The sequence below is a fragment of the Homo sapiens genome, chromosome X, assembly GCF_000001405.40.
Source record: "Homo sapiens chromosome X, GRCh38.p14 Primary Assembly".
NCBI lineage: Eukaryota > Metazoa > Chordata > Mammalia > Primates > Hominidae > Homo > Homo sapiens.
Window position 1 is genome coordinate 40,035,582 of NC_000023.11, and position 20,201 is coordinate 40,055,782.

General features: G+C 44.3%; 1 protein-coding gene across 47 annotated transcripts in view; it reads right to left on the minus strand.

Moving 5' to 3' along the window:
* Positions 15,665-20,201, minus strand: part of BCOR (BCL6 corepressor) — a 126,032-nt gene continuing 121,495 nt past the window's right edge. For 39 of the 47 annotated variants that reach the window (XM_047442223.1, XM_047442205.1, XM_047442213.1 and 36 more), the window contains 4 exons: positions 19,787-19,932; positions 18,675-18,752; positions 18,305-18,461; positions 15,665-16,819 (listed from right to left, as the gene is read on the minus strand). In XM_047442223.1, coding sequence (XP_047298179.1) covers positions 16,528-16,819; positions 18,305-18,461; positions 18,675-18,752; positions 19,787-19,932 — 673 coding nt within the window. In that variant the 3' untranslated portion in view covers positions 15,665-16,527. Of the gene's footprint in view, positions 16,820-18,256; positions 18,462-18,674; positions 18,753-19,786; positions 19,933-20,201 lie in introns of all 47 variants that reach the window. The other 8 variants (NM_001123384.2, NM_001438207.1, NM_001123383.2 and 5 more) reach the window with 2 other exon arrangements.

Here is a 20,201-nt window from a genome sequence, read left to right on the forward strand (position 1 = left end):
TAGCTAGGCATGGTGGCGTGGGCCTGTGTTCCCAGCTACTCGGCTATGGAAGGAGGATCACTTGAGGAAAGGAGTTTGAGGCTGTGGTAAGTCATGATTGAAGCACTGCACTGCAGCCTAGGCAACAGAGCGAGACCTCATCTCCAAAAATAAAAAATAAATCAAGGAAATGCAGCTTCCAAGTGGCCCCCTGTCTCTTCTATGGATGCTTATCCTTCCTGGAACCCAGCCACCAGGTAGGGAAGAGTCCTAGGCCACACGCAAAGTGAAAGTGTTCCAGCTGACAGCCCCAGCTGGAGTCCCAGCCCATACCCAGCTTCAGTCACCAGACATGAGTGAACGAATGTACCAGCCCCCAAAGGATTCCAGCTCCAGACCTTGAACCACCTCAGCTGACGCCAAGTGGAGCATAGGTGAGCTCTCCCAAGGGAGGCCTGTTCAAACTGCAGATTCACGAGCAAACTAAATGCTCTTGCTTTGAGACACGAAGTTCCTTTTAAAAATCTTTATTGAGATATAATTCACATACCATAAAATTCACTTATTTAAAATGTACAATTAAATGGTTTTAGTATATTCGGAGTTGTGCAGCCATCACCACAATCAACTGGAGAACATTTTCATGACTTCCCAAAAAGGGTCCAGAATCCTCCTTCCCTCCACCCTCTCCCCTGCCCCTGGGAACCATTAATCTACTTTCTGTTTCCATGGATTTGCCCATTTTGGAGATTTCATATAAATGGAATCACGTGATATGTGGTCCTTTCTCACTGGCTTCTTTCACTCAGCATGATGCTTTTAAGGTTCACCCATGTCGTAGCACAGATCAGAACTTCATTCCTTTTAGTGCCAAATAATATTCTTTGTATGTTTACACTGCATTTTCTTTTTAAGCTTTTTTTTATTGCCAGGCACAGTGGCTCACGCTTGTAATCCCAGCACTTTGGGAGGCTGAGGCGGGCTGATCACCTGAGGCTGGGAGTTCGAGACCAGCCTGACCAACATGGAGAAACTCCATGTCTACTAAAAATACAAAATTAGCTGTGCGTGGTGGCACATACCTGTAATCCCAGCTACTCTGGAAGGCTGAGGCAGGAGAATTGCTTGAACTCGGGAGGCAGAGATTGCGGTGAGCCGAGATCGCACCATTGCACTCCAGCCTGGGCAACAAGAGTGAAAACTCGGTCTCAAAAACAAGAAAAAGAAAAAGAAAAAAAAATCTATTATGTTATTTTATTCTTTTTTTTTTTTTTTTTTGAGATGGAGTCTTGCTCTGTCATCCAGAGTACAGTGGCACGATCTCGGCTCACTGCAGCCTCCACCTCCTGGGTTCAAGCCAAGCCATTCTCCTGCCTCAGCTTCCCAAGTAGCTGGGACTACAGGCGTGTGCCACCACACCCAGCTAATTTTTGTATTTTTTAGTAGAGACGGGGTTTCACTATATGTTAGCCAGGCTGGTCTTGAACTCCTGACCTCAGGTGATCTGCTCGCCTCAGCCTCCCAAAGTGCTGGGATTACAGGCGTGAGCCACCATGTCTGGCCATGTTATTTTATTCTTAGTTTATTTTTTGAGGCAGGGTTTCACTCCATCATCCAGGCTAGAGTGCAGTGACGTGATCACAGCTCACTGCAGCCTCGACCTCCTGGGCTCAAGTGATCCTTCAACTTCAGCCTCCTGAGTAGCTGGGACTAAAAGCTTGAGCCAACATGACTGGCCACATTTTTCTTATTTATTCATCAGTTGATGAACATTTGATTTGTATCTACTTTTGGCTCTTATGACTAATGCTGCTTTGAACATTCATGTACAAGTTTTGGTGTAGACATATGTTTTCATATCTCTTGAGTGTATACCTAGGAGTGGAATTGCTGGGTAATATGGAAAGTCTGTATTTAATATGTTGAATGTACTGCCAAACTGTTTTCCAAAGTGGCTGCTTCATTTTGGATTCCCACCACCAGCAATGTATGAGGTATCCAATTTCTCCATGTTCTCACCAACACTTGTTATTATGTGTCTTTTTTATTTATTAGAGCTGTCCTAATGGGTGTGAAGTGCTGCTTCATTGTGGTTTTGATTTACACTTCCCTAATGGCTAATGATGTTGAACATATTTTCTTGTGCTTATTGGCCATTTATCTATCTTCTTTGGAAAAATGTTTATTTAAATCATTTACCAAGTTTTTAATTGGTTGACTTAATTTGTCTTATTATTGGGTTGTAAGAGTTATGCACACACACACATACACATATATTTACAAATGGGGTCTCTCTGTGTTGCCCAGGCTGGTCTCAAACTTCTGGGCTCAAGCAATTCTCACATCTCGGCCTCCCAAAGTACCGGGATTACAGGCATGAGCCACCGCACCTAACCTAGAGTTTGTTTTGTTTTGTTTTGTTTTTGTTTTTGTTTTGAGATGAAGTCTTACTCTTGTCAGCCAGGCTGGAGTGCAATGGCGCAATCTTGGCTCACTGCAACGCCTGCCTCCCAGGTTCAAGTGATCCTCCTACCTCAGCCTCTCTAGTAGCTGGGATTACAGGTGCCCGCCATCACGCCCAGCTAATTTTGTATTTTTAGTAGAGACAGGGCTTCACCATGTTAGTCAGGCTGATCTCGAACACCCAATCTCAGGGGATCCGCCCACCTCAGCTTCTCAAAGTGCTGGGATTACAGGCGTGAGCCACCGCGCCCGGCCTAGAGTTATTTATATATTTTGGATACAAGTTCCTTACCGAGCACATGATTTACAAATATTTTTCTCCCATTCTGTGGGTTGTCTTTGTTTTTCTTTCTTTGTTTTTTAAGAAATGAGGGACCGGGAGCGGTGGCTCATACCTGTAATCCCAGCACTTTGGGAGGTTGAGGCAGGCGGATCACCTGAGGTTAGGAGTTTGAGACCAACCTGGCCAACATGGTGAAACCCTGTCTCTACTAAAAATACAAGAATTAGCCAGGCGTGGTGGCACATGCCTGTAATCCCAGCTACTCAAGAGCCTGAGGCAGGAGAATTGCTTGAACCCGGGAGGTGGAGGTTGCAGTGAGCCAAGATCACGCCAGTGCACTCCAGCCTGGGCGACAGAGAGAGACTCCGTCTCAAAAAAAAAGAAAAGAAAAGAAAAGAAGAGAAATGAAATCTCACCATGTTGCCCAGGCTGGACTGGGTTCAAGTGGTCCTCCCACCTCAGCCTCTTGACTAGCTAGAACTATAGGTACATACCACTGTGTCTGACTGACTTTCTCGATGATATCATTTAAAGCATAAAAGTTGTTAACTTTAAGAAAGTCCAGTTTATTTTTCCTTTGGTTGCTTGTGCTTTTGGTGTTATGATGTCATATCTAAAAAGCCATTGCCTAATGGAAGATTTACTCCCGTTTTTTTTTTTTCTCAGAACTTTATAGTTTTAGTTCTTACACTTAGGTCATTGATCCATTTTGAGTTAATTTTTTTTTTTTTTTGATATGAAGTCTTGCTTTGTTGCCCAGGCTGGAGTGCAGTGGCACAATCTCGGCTCACTGCAACCTCTGTCTCCTGGGTTCAAGTGATTTTCCTGCCTCAGCCTCCCAAGTAGCTGGGATTACAAGTGCTCACCACTACACCTGGCTAATTTTTGGATTTTTAGTAGAGATGAGGTTTCACCCTGTTGGCCAGGCTAGTTTCAAATTCCTTTTTTTTTTTTTTAGACAGAGTCTCACTCTATTGCCCAGGCTAGAGTGCAATGGCACGATCTCAGCCCACTGAAACCTCTGCCTCCCGGGTTCAAGCGATTCTCCTGCCTCAGCCTTCTGAGTAGCTGGGATTACAGGCACGCACCACCATGCCCAGCTAATTTTTGTATTTTTAGTAGAGACGGGGTTTCACCATGTTGCCCAGGCTGGTCTTAAACTCCTGGCCTTGTGATCCACCCGCCTAAGCCTCTCAAAGTGCTGGGATTACAGGCATGAGCCACCACACCTGGCCCATTTTTAGTTAATTTTTGTAGACGGTGTGAGGTAGAGGCCCAACTTTGTTCTCTGTGTGTGGATCCAGTTCTCCCAGCATCGTTTGTGGAAAAGACTGTTCTTTCTCCATTAAATAATTTTTGTACCCTTGTCAAAAGTCAGTTGATTTTTGACAGTATTGTCAATAATCAGTGCTGTATAATTAGTTGATTATACAGTATGTGTGAAGGCTTATTTCTGAGCTGTCTATTTTATTCTAGTCTATTCTATTCCATTGGCCTATATGTCTGTCCTTATGCCAGTAAAAGCCATGAAGTTTTGAAATAACTCTTATGCAGCCATTGTAACTGGAATAGGGAGGCGTCAGGGATTAAGTAAGAGATGGGGAAGGAGAAAGGTGAATGAAAGGAGAGACAGGAACCTACCTATTATTTGCCTACATTTGTTTTTTGTTTTTTTGGGGTTTTTTTGTTGTTGTTGAGATGGGGTTTTGCTCTTCTTGCCCAGGCTGATTGTGCAATGGCATGATCTCGGCTCACTGCAACCTCCACCTCCCAAGTTCAAGCAATTTTCCTGCCTCAGCCTCCTGAGTAGCTGGAATCACAGATGCGTGCCACCACGCCTGGCTAATTCTTGCATTTTTAGTAGAGACGGGGTTTCGCCATGCTGGCCCAGCTGGTCTCAAACTCCTGAATGCAGGTGATCCTCCTGCCTCGGCCTCCCACAATGTCGGGATTACTGGTGTGAGCCACCGCATTCAGCCTATTTGCTTAAATTTGAATACTCTAAAAGTGCCAACCTTGCACAAGCATAAGCAACCATCACCCCAGGGGCTAGACCACGAGGACTGCTCACTTTTGGACAGCTGAAATCAAGTGGTGGAACAGAACAACTAGACCGACTTCCAAATGTTTGGGACTTGTCCTTCTCACTCCCACACTTTTAGTCTGAAGCCTTTAGTTGGGGACATTGTCAGGACTTGTATGGACCTTGCAAATTTAGCAGAGTTGGGGTTGGGGTGGTGGAAGCAGAAATAAGTTTTGGGTCAATCAGCCAGTCTCTCAGTTGTCTCCTAAGTGTGTTCAGGGTGAGGATCCCACTCCCTGGCAATATTAATCTGTAAAAGAAGGCCAGCCAGTTAAGGAATAATTGCAAACTCTTACAATATTCCTTCTAGGACTGCAGACATAGGATGTTTCTGGAGACCAGAAACGCTGTTTACTTCTGTTATTTTAAGTACCACTCAGGCTGCAGTGAAAAGAAACTTCCGGTACCAAAGTTCATATCTTGGCATTTTCTGCCTTTCCTTGTCCCCTCTCTTTCTCTCTCACTCCCTCCCTCTCCCTTCCTTCCTTCCTCTCCCCTCCTCTTTACGCAGCCTGGCCCCTCCTCCTTCTCCTTCTTTTAACCACTTCCTGCCCTCCACTGCCCACTCACCCAAATGTATCTACTGTCCTGGATTTGGTAGAGATCACTCCTCTTCTTGGTTTTATATCTTGACTAATTAGTCAGAAACCCATTAACAGTATAATGGTATTTTTGCCTATTTTAATATTTTATATAAATGTGTCACATTACATGCATTCTTCTGCAATTTGCCTTCTATTTTGGTCAATGTTATGTTTGTGACATTTATGTGTCTTGACTGGAGTAGCTGGGGTATGGCATCTTATTGTTTGACTACAAGGCAATTTATCCACTTGTCCTGCTCAAAGGCCACCTCCCCAGAGCAGCCTTCCCTGACCTGACCATTCATCCAAAGTAGACCTTTTACTGTCCTTTTCCTCTTCTTCTTCCTTTTCCTATTCCTCTTCTTCCTTTTAATAGAAACACACACTGAGGGCTGAGTACCATTTCTCACACCTGTAATCCCAGCACTTGGGGAGCCCAAGGAGGGCTGATTGCTTTAGCCCAGGAGTTCGAGACCAGCCTGAGCAACATGGCAAAACCCCGTCTCTACAAAAAATACAAAAATTAGCCGGGTGTGATGGTGCATGCCTGTTGTTCCAGCTACTCAGGAGGCTGAGGTGGGAGGATCACCTGAGCCTGGGAGGTGGAGGTTGCAGTGAGCTGAGATTGTGCCACTGTACTCCAGCCTGGGTGACAGAGTGAGACCCTGTCTCAAAAAAAAAAAAAAAAGAAAGAAAGAAAGAAAGACAGACAGACAGACAGACACACTGAGGGAAAACACCAGCTTCCAGTAGCACATCTAGCCCCTACTAACTCTGGCCCTAGCCCTCTTTTATTGGACATGTGGCAGAGAAAAAGTGTGTGCCTTTAGGTGGGACAAGAAGCAGATGCCAAGATGGGCTTAGACAGGTAAGAGATACATTGGGGGAGAAAGCAGGAAAAGGTGAGGAGGGCCTTCACACCGAGATGCAGGTCTGACTCCTGTGGAAGGAGAGGAGAAGGAAGGAGGGGTGTATAGGAAGATTCAAAGCCTGCAATGTAGCTCCAAGAAAAGTGGCCAGGCTGATGGTGAGTCCTCAAGCCAAAGATGCACATCCTGCCCGAATGAGCCCACCTCAGGGCCCCCGTGATGCCCACTGCATGGTGGGGAGGAGCCACAGGAAGTGAGGCCTCTTTGCGAGTGCGGTGGTGGCAGAGCAAGGACAGCAGGGCATTCTCACAGCCAGCCCTGCCACTCTAGCCAGCAGCTTCCTTCCTGCTGTCTGGCCACAGGTGCTTAACGAGGTTGAGACCTGGCTGATGAATCCACCCTCAGAAGTCCTTCCACTTATCTAAACCAAAGGGCTTTGGGAAAGACGATGACTTCAAAGTGAGGAGAAGAGAACCCCCCACACACACACACCAATCCACCCGAAACAGACCCAGATCCAAACCCTGAACTCTGAACCCAAGTTTTGCAGAGGAGAGGCTGCCAAACCTCTTGGGCCCTGTGTTTTTGACAGAATGTTATTACCTTTTAGAAAAAGGAGAAGAGTGACAAGGTAATAAATGTTTTAACCTGTCTTTGTTTCACCCTTCTCTGAGGAAACAGTAATGAGAGGTATTGAAAAAAGTGTGAGATGGAAATTATGATTTTTTTTCCCTCAACATTATTTCGAAAAATCCCAAACCTATATAAAAGGTGAAAGAATGGCCGGTCGCAGTGGCTCAAGCCTGCAATCCCAGCACTTTGAGATGCTGAGGCGGGTGGATTGCTTGAACTCAGGAGTTTCAGACCAGCCCGGGCAACATGGTGAAACCCCATCTCTACTAAAAATACAAAAGTTAGCTGGGCATGGTAGCACGTGCCTGCAGTCCCAGCTACTTTGGAGGCTGAGGTGGGAGGATTGCTTGAGCCCAAGAGGTTGAGGCTGCAGTGAGCTGAGATCATGCCACTGCACTTCAGTCTGGGCAACACAGTGAGACTCAAAAAAAAACAGTGAAAGAACGATTTAATATACCCTTTACCTGGATTCCCCAATTATTAATATTTTTCTATGCTGTTATCTGTGTAATAATAAACATATTAATATTTTTCTGTGCTTTTCTTTTCTGAACCTTTTGGAAGTCAATGACAGACATCCTAATTCATCCTTGAACACCCTAGCATACATATCTCAAGAGTATGGACATTCTCCTACATGACCACAATGCCATTATCGTTCCTAAGAAAATGAACATTTATTCAATAATATCCTTTAATTTATATTCTTTATTTCAATTTCCCCATTGGCTCTATAGTGACAGAAACCACATCTGTGGTTGCTTGGGGTCAGGGAGGTGTTGAAAGTAAACGGCACAGGGGAACTTTCTGGGGTGACAAATGTTAGATGCTTGATTGGGAGTGGTAGTTACATGGATGTAAAATTGCCGAAACTCAGAACTGGGTGTCTTTGGTTTGATATAAATTATATCTTAATAAGATTGATTTTTACCAATTTTACCAGTAGTCCCTAAAGTGTCTGATAAGGAATTTTTACCCCGATCTAGGATTCTATCAAGGTTCATGCATTGCATTTGATCGTCTTGTTCTCCTCAATCTTCCCTAATCTAGAACATTCCCTCTTGCTTGTTTTCATGACATGGATTGAAAAAAAAAAAGGCGGAGGTGGGCGTATTGCTTGAGGTCAGGAGTTTGAGACCAGCCTGACCGACATGATGAAACCCCTTCTCTACTAAAAATACAAAAATTAGCCAGGTGTGCTTGCTTGAACCCAGGAGGCAGAGGTTGCAATGAGCCGAGATTGTGCCACTGCACTCCAGCCTGAGTAAGAGAGAGAGACTTTGTCTCGGGGAAAAAAAAAAAAAAAGCCAAGCCAGTTGTCTTGTCTTCCAGAATGTCTGTTTCCTCATTATTGGATTCAAGTTATTTTTTTTTTTTCTCTCTTTTTTTGAGACAGGGTCTCACTCTGTGGCCCAGGCTGGAGTGCAGTAATTTGATCATGGTTCACTGCAGCCTTGATCTCCTGGGCACAAAAGATCCTCCCAGCTCAGCCTCCCCAGTAGCTGATACTATGGGCATGTGTCACCATGCCCGGCTAATTTTTTCTATTTTTAGTAGAGATGAGATATCGCCATGTTGCCCAGACTGGCACATTTTTGATAAGAACACTGTAGAGGTAATGCTGGGTCCTTCTTATCAGTGCCATATGGAGCTAGTCTGTCACAGTACTGGCTAGGCTCACTCACCTTGTATGTTCTCTGCTATAGACTCTGGGTCAAGCTTTTCTGCAGGCAGCCCCTGGTTCTTGACAGCAGGAAATGGCATTTAGAAACCAAGAACTTAGTGCTAGATGTGCTCATTGCTACTAGGGTGTCAACGTTTGTTAGGCCCTTTTAGTAGACAGAGCTTGGGAATCCACATTGTATTTGCTGAACTCTTGAATTGGCAATTCGTAGCCAACATCACAAGCTTCTTTCTCCCTTCTCCACATTTCATGTTTGTATATCCCTTCTCACAGAGTGGTTCCCATTACCATATTTATCATCTCATCTATCTCACAATGCATGTAAAAGGCTTTCAGAATTACAATACAATTACTAATTACAATTACAAATACAATACAGAATTACTACAAGAGATCTGCTGAGTAAAGTTCCAAGATATCTTTGCAATTATTTTTGTCCTTGGAATATATTTCACTAAGGATGTTCAAAACTTACTTTGGCAAATTCTTTTTCTGTGTGGTAATGTTATCAACGCGATATGGTTTCATTTGTTCCTGTTTACACTCAACTTCAATATTTGCCTTTATTCATCTATTTTTATTGAATTTGGTTTCTTGAATATTTAAACATTTACATGGTTCAAATGAAAACAACTATATCAATAGGAACACACAGAGAATTCTTGTGCCGTCCCTGACCCATCTCGCCTTTGCCACTGAGGTTTCTCCCTCTTTCCAGTTTTCCTGGTGAACAAACAAGTCATCACTAGATGGTAGAGATGAGAAAGGATACACATCTAGTTTGGAGAAATATGCAAACTGTGTGCAAGCAGAGGCAAGCTCCTTTCAGAATCCACTCCCCCCTTTTTAAGTACAGACCTTTTTTAAAAGGAGAATCTAAATATTTATCTAGTGTTTACTACCTGTTGGGCATTGTGCCAGGTGCTCAACATATATGGTCTCATTTAATCCTCACAACCCTGAAAGATACGTATTGTTTTGGGTTGAATTTTTTTGAGACAGGGTCTCACTCTGTCACCCAGGCTGGAGTCTAGTGGTGCAATCATGGCTCACGGTAGCCTCAACCTTCGAGGCTTAAGTAATCCTCCTGCCTCAGCCTCCCAAGTAGCTAGGACTACAGGTGTGTGCCACCATGCCTGGATAACTTTTAAAAGTTTTTTGTTTTTTGTTTTGTTTTGTTTTGAGACACAGTTTCGCTCTTATCACCCAGGGTGGAGTGCAATGGCATGATCTCAGCTCACTGCAACCTTCGCCTCCTGGGTTCAAGTGATTCTCCCACCTCAGCCTCCTGAATAGCTGGGATTACAGGCACCCACCACCACGCCAGGCTAATTTTTGTATGTAGAGATGGGGTTTCACAATGTTGGGCAGGCTGGTCTCGAACTCCTGACCTCAAGTGATCCGCCAGCCACAGCCTCCCAAAGTGCTGGGATTACAGGCGTGAGCCACCCTGCCCGGCCAACCTTTAAAGTTTTTATAGAGATGGGGTCTCCCCAGGTTGCCCAGGCTGAGATGCTCTCTTTCAAAAAATAACTTATTGTAGAAAATTTCAAACACACACAAAAATAGAGAGAAGTGCACAATTCAGAGACCTCCATGTACCCATTTCCTGCTTCAAAAATTACCTACTGATGGCCCGGCCAGGTGCGGTGGCTCACGTCTGTAATCCCAGCACTTTGGGAGGCCAAGGCAGGCAGATCACAAGGTCAGGAGATCGGGACCATCCTGGCTAATGCGGTGAAACCCCACCTCTACTATAAATACAAAAAATTAGCCGAGTGTGGTGGCAGGCACCTGTAGTCCCAGCTACTTGGGAGGCTGAGGCAGGAGAATGGCGTGAACCCAGGAGGCGGAGCTTGCAGTGAGCCAAGATTGCGCCACTGCACTCCAGCCTGGGTGACAGAGAGACTCCGTCTCAAAAAAAAAAAAAATAAATAAAAATAATTACCTACTCATGGGGCTTGTTTCATCTACATCTCCATCTTCTCCTCCCACTGGGATGATTTTGAGGCAAATCCCAGATATCATATACATAAAGATTTCAGCACACATTGCCAAAAGATTTGGAATAAAAAAAAAAAAAGTTCTGGGCCAGGCTTAGTGGCTCACGTCTGTAATCCCAGGCCAAGGCGGGAGGATTGCTTGAGCCCAGGAGTTCAAGATGAGCCTGGCCAACACAAAGAGACCCTATCTCTACAAATAAAAAAAATTAGTTGGTTGTGGTGGTGCACGCCTGTGGTCCCAGCTACTTGGGAGGCTTAGGTGGGGGAATTGCTGGAAACCAGGCAGTAGAGGCTGCAGTGAGCTGTGATTGCACAACTGCACTCCAGTCTCCGTGACAGAGCAACACCACATTTTAAAATTATATATATAAATATATATATATATATGTATATATATATATATATATATATATGTATATATATATATATATATATATGTATATATATATATATATATGTTCAGCATTCCTATTTCCCTGGTTTTTACAAATTTTGCAATTTTTTTTTCTTTTTTATAGTTTGTTCAAATCAGACTCACAGATCCATGCTTTACATTTGCTGGTATTTCTCTTGTCTCTTTTAGTCTAGAGGTTTCCTCCTCTGTTTTTTTTCCCCTTGCAAGTTATTTGTTAAATAAACTGAGCCATGTGTCTTTTTTTTTTTGAGATGGGTTTTTGCTCTTGTTGCCCAGGCTGGAGTACAGTGGTGTGATCTCGGCTCACTGCAACCTCCACTTCCCTGGTTCAAGCAATTCTCCTGCCTCAGCCTCCCGAGTAGCTGAGATTACAGGCGCCCGCCACCATGCCTGGCTAATTTTATTTTTATTTTTTTGTATTTTTAATAGAGACGGGGTTTCACCATGTTGATCAGGCTGGTCTTGAACTCCTGACCTCAGGTGATCCACCCACCTCAGCCTCCCAAAGTGCTGGGATTACAGGCCTGAGCCACCGTGCCCAGCCCCATGTGTCTTATAGAGTCTCACAGTTTGGCTTTTGCTGAATGCATACCCATAGTGTCCTAACGTGTTTCTCTGCCCCTTGTATTTCTTGTAAACTGGTAAGTAGACTTAGACCTACATTGTCCAGTGTGGTAGCCAGTAGCCACATGTGGCTACTGAGCACTTGGCAATGTGGCCAGTTCAAGCTGAAAAGTGCTGCAAATGTAAAATACACATTGGAGTTTCTAAAGTCTTGGTATAAAAAACAAAAGTGTCTCGTTAATGATTTCTGTATTGATTGCATGTCAAAATGGTAATACTTCGGATATACGGAGTTAAACAACATATGTTATAAAACTTACTTTTGGCCGGGCACTGTGGCTCATGGCCTATAATCCCAGCACTTTGGAAGGCTTAATTTTTTTGACACAACCCCACTGGCTTCTTGTATATATCTATACTCCCTTCCAATTCTTCCCTGCCCCAAACTGGAATCAACCATTTCTCAAATAAAGCTCAGTTGTTTTTAATGAGGAAAGGTATTTAGAAACCATAGGCTGGGAGCTATGGTGCTCATTTCTATCAGTCATTGTTTCCAGGCTTTTTGAGAGGACAGAGCTAGGAAACAAACTTTCCTAAGATAAAATATTAATACATCATGAGTTCATAGTGATACTTACAATTCATGTTCAGGGCTGGATAATTTATCTAACCTTGCCAATTCTATATTTTCATCTCCTTTCTCTCATGTTGAAGTCCCAGTTCTCAATACCAACATTTCCTTTTGTTTTATCTCACGACACAAACAGGACAGACTCAGAATAACAATACTGACACTACCAAAGATAAGATTACTGAAAACAACTATAAAAATGTTTTCAGGCCAGGTGTGGTGGCTCACTCCTGTAATCCCAGCACTTTGGGAGGCCAAGGTGGGTGGATCGCTTCAGCTCAGGAGAACAGCCTGGCCAACACAGCAAGTCTCCCATCTCTCCAAAAAAACAAAATAATTACCCCAGAATGGTGGTGCTTGTCTGTAGTCCCAGCTATTCAGGAGGGTGAGGCAGGAGGATTGCTTGAGCCTGGGGAGTTGAGGCGGTGGTGAGCCATGATTGTACCACTGCACTCCAGCTTGGGCAAGAGCGAGACGAGACCCTGTCTCAAAAAAATAAATAGGCCAGGCATGGTAGCTCACGCCTGTAATCCTGGCACTTTGGGAGGCTGAGGCTGGGTGGATCACCTGAGACCAGGAGTTCAGGACTAGCCTGGCCAACATGGTAAAACCCTGTCTCTACTAAAAACATAAAAATTAGCTGGGCATGGTGGCGGGTGCCTATAATTCCAGCTACTTGGGAGGCTGAGGCAGGAGAATTGCCTGAACCCAGGAGGCAGAGGTTGCAGTGGGCAGAGGTTGCAGTGAGCAGAGGTTGTACCACTGCACTCCAAGTCTGGGCAACAGAGCAAGACTGTCTCAAAAAATAATAATAATAAATAATAAAATAAAATAATAATAATTGGAAGACCACTCTAAAGCAAGTTAGGGAACTATTCCTCAATTCTTTTTCCAGTTGCATAGTATTCCACTGTGTGGGTGTACCATTGTTAACTCGACCAGTGCCCAACTGATGGAGATTTGGGTGTTTTGCTATTACATCAATTAACGTAAATGGCAGGTAGGGTAGGGCTGGTATGGTGGCTTGGTTCCAGGAGATTCTCAAAGACCCATGCTCCTTCAAACTTGTCCAGCAGTGCTCGACTTCGATACTTCATGGTCCAAGGTGGTTGTGACAGCTATAGCTAGAGCAGCCACATTCTAGCCAGGAAGAGGGAGGACAGGGCAAAGGAAAGCATGTCCTGATCCTAAGGGACACCTTCAGAATTGGAATGAACCACTTCTGCTGTCTACCCGTGGTGAGCTCCACTGCACTCATGTTGACCTTCATGGAAACTCTTCTATGTTGCTGGTGGGTTCCTGGACACCCAAATGAGGGCCTATAAAGGTCTGCTCTGTACCTCTGGTGAGCTCTTCTAAACCCATGGTGTTTCTATACGGCCAATACGATCTCATCTATGCCTGTGGTGTCTTCTACACCCACTCCCTTCCCCCCAGGAGGAGTTCTACTGGAATGGGCACTCTACCTGCAGTGGGATCTCACTTACACCTGTGTTAACATCTTTGCCTGTGGAGAGCTCTTCAACGCCCGAGGTGACCTTAGATCATGATTGCTCCAAACCTGTGGTGAGCACTTGAACACCCATGCTGAGTTCCTCTCAACACACAATAAGCTCCCCTACCTTCTGGTGACGCGTCCCTCTCCCTGTGGAGTGTGATCTGGCCCATACCTGTGGCCCACTCTATGTTCATGGTGAGCTCTATTACCCATGGGGAGTTCCTGAGCAGGGGTGGGGCATTGCTCTACATCCAAACCTTTCTCAGCCATGGGGATCTCATCTATACCCCCAGTCAGTTCTACGTCCATGTTTCCAACCACCCTGACAGTTCTTGCACTAACTGTTCTGACTACTAGCTCCTCCAACTGCATGAACCACAGCCTTAAATGTCTCCTGCACCAAGCTGCTTCTTCTGCACACCCTAACCTTGTGGCTCTCACCTGTTTTCCTAGCTTAATTAACAGAATGACCTTCATCCAAGATAAAAATCTCAGTTGGCCTTGGGCTCCCCCTTTGCCTCCAACCCCAATACAAAGAGCCGGATGCCCTTAAGTTTTTATTATTTTTTAAATCTGGGTGTGTAGGATCTCTCGTAGCTTTGATGGTAGTTCAGCTTCACCAGTCCTCTTCTGCTTAAATCATTTCTACAGGTCTGTTTTACTGGTCTTGTCGTCTGTTTTTTTCCCTTCAACACTCCCCCTAGCTATTTGAGGGGACTTCCTGTAAAACAAAAACTAAGTAAACTGTTAATAGTGGTTAACATGGGTGGGGGAGGGGAGGGGATAATAGGAAACGTGTCTATTTCTGACATGATTGGGTTTTTTAAATAAGGTATACATTTTCTAATATCAGAAAAATTAGTAAATAAGATGGTAGGCTGCCTTTTGTCTTCAAGATACACTCCAAACTTCATTCGTAGCCAACCTTCCCCCAAAAAGGGCTCTTGCATTCCTCACATGGAATTTCTTCATTCCCAACAATGCCTCACTTTTCCTTTTTTTTCTTCCACAGTGTTTGCTGGCCTGACAAATACAGTGTCCCCACAGCCTCTTTCCTCTGCTTTCGCAGTCCTAGTGTTCCATGCAGGATCAGAAAGCACTGAGGGCATTCGGTGCACAAATGGATTTGACACAAGGACCCAGATGAATAAGGTCTTTGGAAGGGCTGGGGGAACAGGAGTCAGGGACAACTCTGGATCCACAGGGTTCACGAACAATCTGCTGAGGCTGTCATCCAAGAATTAGAAAGCTGCCACTGCCACAACCACTACTGTATCTCATCACCCACCAAGCTGAAAACCAGACACTGGAATGCTGGTCAGTCATTCCAACTGGCTGGCATTCTCTTCAAATTTTCCTATCCGCAGCCACTATAGTAGGAAGGTGCCCCTACCTCATGCTGCCCTCCAAACAGAATATGCACTCAGAAAGCTAGCTGCAAGGGAGTCAAGTAGTTTTCAGCTTTCTAGCCTCTATAGTGAAGGACAGGCACAAAAGCAAGTGAGATGGAAATCAAGGGCCAACTGATAGTGCCCAGTGCAGATACTGCTGGGAAAAGTCAAGAACAGAGGAAAGGCTGGCTCTACAGGCCTTGACTCTCAGGCCATGCAACAGAAGGGCTGCAGAAGTGACATAACAAATGCCTAGCTTCAGAAAAAACACTCCTAGAGAGTTGGCCATGACGTGGGACTGAAATAGGTCAAGGCCAAAGGCAGTGCAAAAGCCTCCATAAGCATCAAAGGAGACAGGAAAGAGAAGGTTCTAAGAGACAGGAAATATGTCCAAGAATTGGGCTTTCAGAATAGGACTCCAAATTATATTCTGAGTATAACTCCTCCAAAATCCTCCAGTCTGCTTTGGTTTCCAGAGACTATAAATTGCTCTAAAGTTATCTATAGGGAATACATCACCAGCACCATTTAAGAAGAATCAGGGACAACAATAATGCTTTAGGAATACATGGGACACAAGGTACTTCAATTTTCTCCTTTCCTCAACAGTTTTATTGCCTTTTAAGAAAATTTTTGTAAAATATAAATACAAAGGCAGAGAATTTACTTACAAAGTTAAAACACAGATTTCAAACATAAACACACGATTCAGAAAATTTTAGTTTTATGTACATTTCCAAGCAACCTCAACATATTATGTTAGTTTTCAATATTTTACAGGGTACAGAAAAAAATAGCTCAAAGTCTTCTTTAAATAAGAGCATAAAATGTTTAAACATATAAACAATCCGGTTTGATGCGTGAAAACTAATTTCACAGCTTTTAAATTAGGATATAAAAGTTTCATACAATTAGTTGTTGTGTGTGGATATGGTTTGAATTTATATTACACACTACTGGATTACATCCAATAGCATTTACCTGGCCCGAGCAGGTACTCTGTAAACAAAACAAAGTTATATCACCAAGTGCCTTCCCCGAATTCGCTCCCTCAAACCAACCACACAGTTCTGACCACTCTACAGTCATGGCCTGTCATCAGAGCTTTGTATGAAATTAAGTCAAAGTGTGGAGCTCCTTTTACTCATTTTTTTTTCTCCTTAAAAAAGAAAAGAAACAAATGTTCCAAGTAAAAACAAACGTATCCCAAAGCATGTGTGCATTGAAAAGTAAAGAAACATTATAACAACTTCATAAAAACTGACTTAAAAGTTTAAAAGGAAAAAAACATGTTTCTAAGTCCTTCTGACTGGAGTAATTTCTCTTATATAAAGAAGAGATATTTTCATATGTAATAGTGTCCTTTCTTTACAGAAATAGTTGTATTATGACACATATGCACAAGGATTAACACTATAACACACTGTACATGGTGGGTCCAGCTTGCTCACCAGTAGTTGTCTGAGGCCAGATCACTGGGGTGGAGCCACTCTACAGAGGAGCCCAGCAGAGTCTGAATTTCGTTCGTGAATTCCACCAGATCTAACAGCTCCTTACTTTCAGGGTTGAAGGCTTCCAGGTCTTTGGAGCAAGAGAACAAGAGACTTGCAGAAACCTGCCGATAAAATTCTGCCTCTGCAATGGTGACAATTTCCACGTTTGGAAAATTGCAGCGAAATATGCGGGAGGACATTTTCAATTTCTTAAGGACATCCGAAAGCAGTAGCCAGTTTCGTGGCCTACAAAACAGAAAGGAAAATGCTTTGAGTTTCCAGTAAAATGAAAAGTGCGCCCAACTATTAATATTAACTACCAACCCAAGTGGACCAGCCTCTATGTCCTTTCATTCTGCTCCCACCCCTCATTTCTCACCATACCTACTCTCTGATCACCATTTTTTTTTTTTTTTTTTTTTTTTTTGGAGACGGAATCTCGCTCTGTCGCCCAGGCTGGAGTGCAGTGGCGCGATCTCAGCTCACTGCAAGTTCCACCTCCCAGGTTCACGCCATTCTCCCGCCTCAGCCTCCCGAGTAGCTGGGACTACAGGGGCCCGCCACCATGCCCGGCTACTTTTTAGTATTTTTAGTAGAGATGGGGTTTCACCATGTTAACCAGGATGGTCTCAATCTCCTGACCTCGTGATCCGCCCGCCTTGGCCTCCCAAAGTGCTGGGATTACGGATGTGAGCCACCGTGCCCGGCCATCGCCATTCCTTTCTAAGGTGAGGCAGAGTAACTACTTCTAGCAGTAGGAACTCTGGACTCATCTGTCCATCTAGGGAGGACCATCTGAATAAGCCCCATTTCTCCCCTTTCTGGGGGTAAAGTCCTGCTCATTCAGCTGTGACCACAACTAGGGTCAAGCCTATCCAAGTGCCCTGCTATCAACAGTCACTGGGAGAGTAAGTCTGTATCCCCATTTCTTTGATCTCTTCTCTCCTCAGACCCTCACTAACAGCATTATAAACACACAAGGCTGTCTCTCCATTCAGGCATGTCCACTCCCATCCTTCCATTCTTTTGGGAGTGACACTTTTGAGAAGGAAGGTGTTACATTCCTTGCATACAACCTACCATACTTTATGATTTCCATCACTGTTTGTAATGGCATATATGTTTATAGCTTCAGGGCTGAGGAGGATGTTACTCATCAAGCAGCTCTGTCAACACACAGCAGAGCAGTCTCTTGACAAGTACACCCAAGATGATTGGTCACTGGCGAATAGGGGCTCAACCATAGGGGGCAGAGGGGATTAACTAAATCTGATGACACACCAATATCCTAAGTGTCATGTACAATGATTGTCCTAACCTTACACAAGGTGGTTTATCAGTGTAGTCCGTACATCTCAAAACATCCTACAGTGGTCTGTTGCAGGCAGTCCTAGGGAGGACACCTTCTCAAAGTGTTTAAGGATTTAAGTATCCAAGGTGCTGACCCTTCCATAAAGTTCCAGTCACCCACTTCTCTGGGGAGTGACTTAAGCCTTGGTGTTAGTGATGAGGGCAGGTTTATACCATGCTGTGCCCCACCCCCCACCACACTGGGTGTAAGGAAGCTGATGTGTACCCTTTCTGGAAAATATCTACTGCATTGTGTGAGGTTCGTGGACAGTTAAGGAGGTCACTCACCCACCCACCCTCATCTGCTCAAAGCGCATTTCTAACTCCTGTCACCTCAAGAGCAGCTCAGCTAGTTTTCAATCACATGACAGCCATGCTCACCCCTGAGCCACAGATACTTGGATGTTATAACACGGTAAGAGGGGGGTCTCTGAAAATTCAAATTCAAACACATCGCTATAGGCATCGTCATCATCATCCTGGTCTTCTGGTCCTGGGGGGTTGGCTAAAACATCATAGCCACTTTCATCATCTGGTTCTAATGGAGGGCAAATAAGAGAGGAAGGAATCAGTAAACTACAGCAAGATGTCCACAGTTGTCAACAACAACAAGGAGTTTAAATAACAAGATTCTTTCCCAAGTGAGTCCTGCTTCCAGTGCCCACCATCCACTTTCCCTCACCCATACCAGACAGAAATGGACTTGAACTTGTTCACCTCCTACGGAACTAGAGCAAACAATGCAGCTTACCACAAACAGAGCTGCCATAGAAGTCCCAAGTGCCACTGGCGTCATCATCATTGCGACCCTGGAGGTCATTTAAATAATCTGGAGGGAGAGAAAAATAAAAAAACAAGATAAAATCTACTGCTGAGAACAAAATGATGGCAGAGCCACGTGGCATTTTTTCCTATACATTCATGACAGGCTGGAAGGTCATTTCCTGTCTTCCTCTTTCTCAGCAAAATAAAGTAGCATTACACTTATGTATCTCTTTTTTTTTTTTTTTTTTGACAGAGTCTTGCTCTGTTGCCCAGGCTGGAGTGCAGTGGCACAATCTCGGCTCACTGCAGCCTCCACCCCTCCACCTCCCGGGTTCAAGGGATTCTCCTGCCTCAGCCTCCCAAGCTGGGACTAGAGGCGCCCACCACCATGCCCAGCTAATTTTTGTATTTTTAGTAGACACAGGGTTTTACCATGTTGGCCAGGTTGGTCTTGAACTCCTGACCTTTGGTGATCCACCTGCCTCGGCCTCCCAAAGTGCTGGGATTACAGGCGTGAGCCAACTGTGTCCGGCCTACTTATGTATCTCTTCTTTGATAGCCTAACTAAGCTGCTTCTTCCAACAAGTGAGTGTAATTTAAGGTAAACAAGGGCAGGTCACCAGTGAGTTAGTGGCATTCTTTGGCAGGAAGTGCCTGATAAGGACTTTAACTGCAGGTGCCTGACACTCATGAAAACCTTGTGCTTCTGCTTTAGGCACTTTGTAATGCCCAGGGCTTAAGTAATGGGTTATCTGATGACCTAACACCATAAACCTGTCCAAATAATTTCATGTATGGAAGGTTTGAGTCATTTTTCCCAGACTCAAGATGTAAACCTATGAGCCATACCTAAGTTAAGAATGCATGTGTGGAAAATGGGAATAACTTTAGGAAATCTTTTAAAACATTAGGGTGAATAGATGACTTAGCTTCACTAGAACAAAGTCAAACCACACAAAAGTTCAAACACTCGGCTGCTCTCCTAAAAGCTTTACAGTTTCAGCCTTTGTGATTTCTGCCTAGTCAAATTCCAATCATCTATTGTATCGAGTTATCATCTAATTTTTGAATAAGACCATTTCTTGAACTTTGTCATACCTGTTAAGAACTTTTCCATAAGTTCACTGTGGGTCATTTTCATGATGGTTCTACCTGAGTACGTAGCCAAGGTGGGGTCAGCACCATAAGAGAGAAGTAGTCGGACAATTTCCAAGTGATCGTTCTCAACAGCATCGTGCAGAGGCCTAGGAAGAGAGGCGCAATAGAATTATGCTCATGCAAGCCACACTTGCTTATAAAGCAGTTGTCTCCTTTAAAAGCAACAGGCAAAGCTGGGCACATGTGCACCTTGGGTACTGAGCCTCCTAAGCACAGTATTTCATCCAGGAGGTGTGCACAGTCACCGCCACTGCACAGATAGGGAAACTGAGCTACAGTGAGTGGCTCAACGTCAAGCAATGAATCACTGTTATTTTGATGACTAACCCTTTACAGGGCAGATGAAGAGACTATT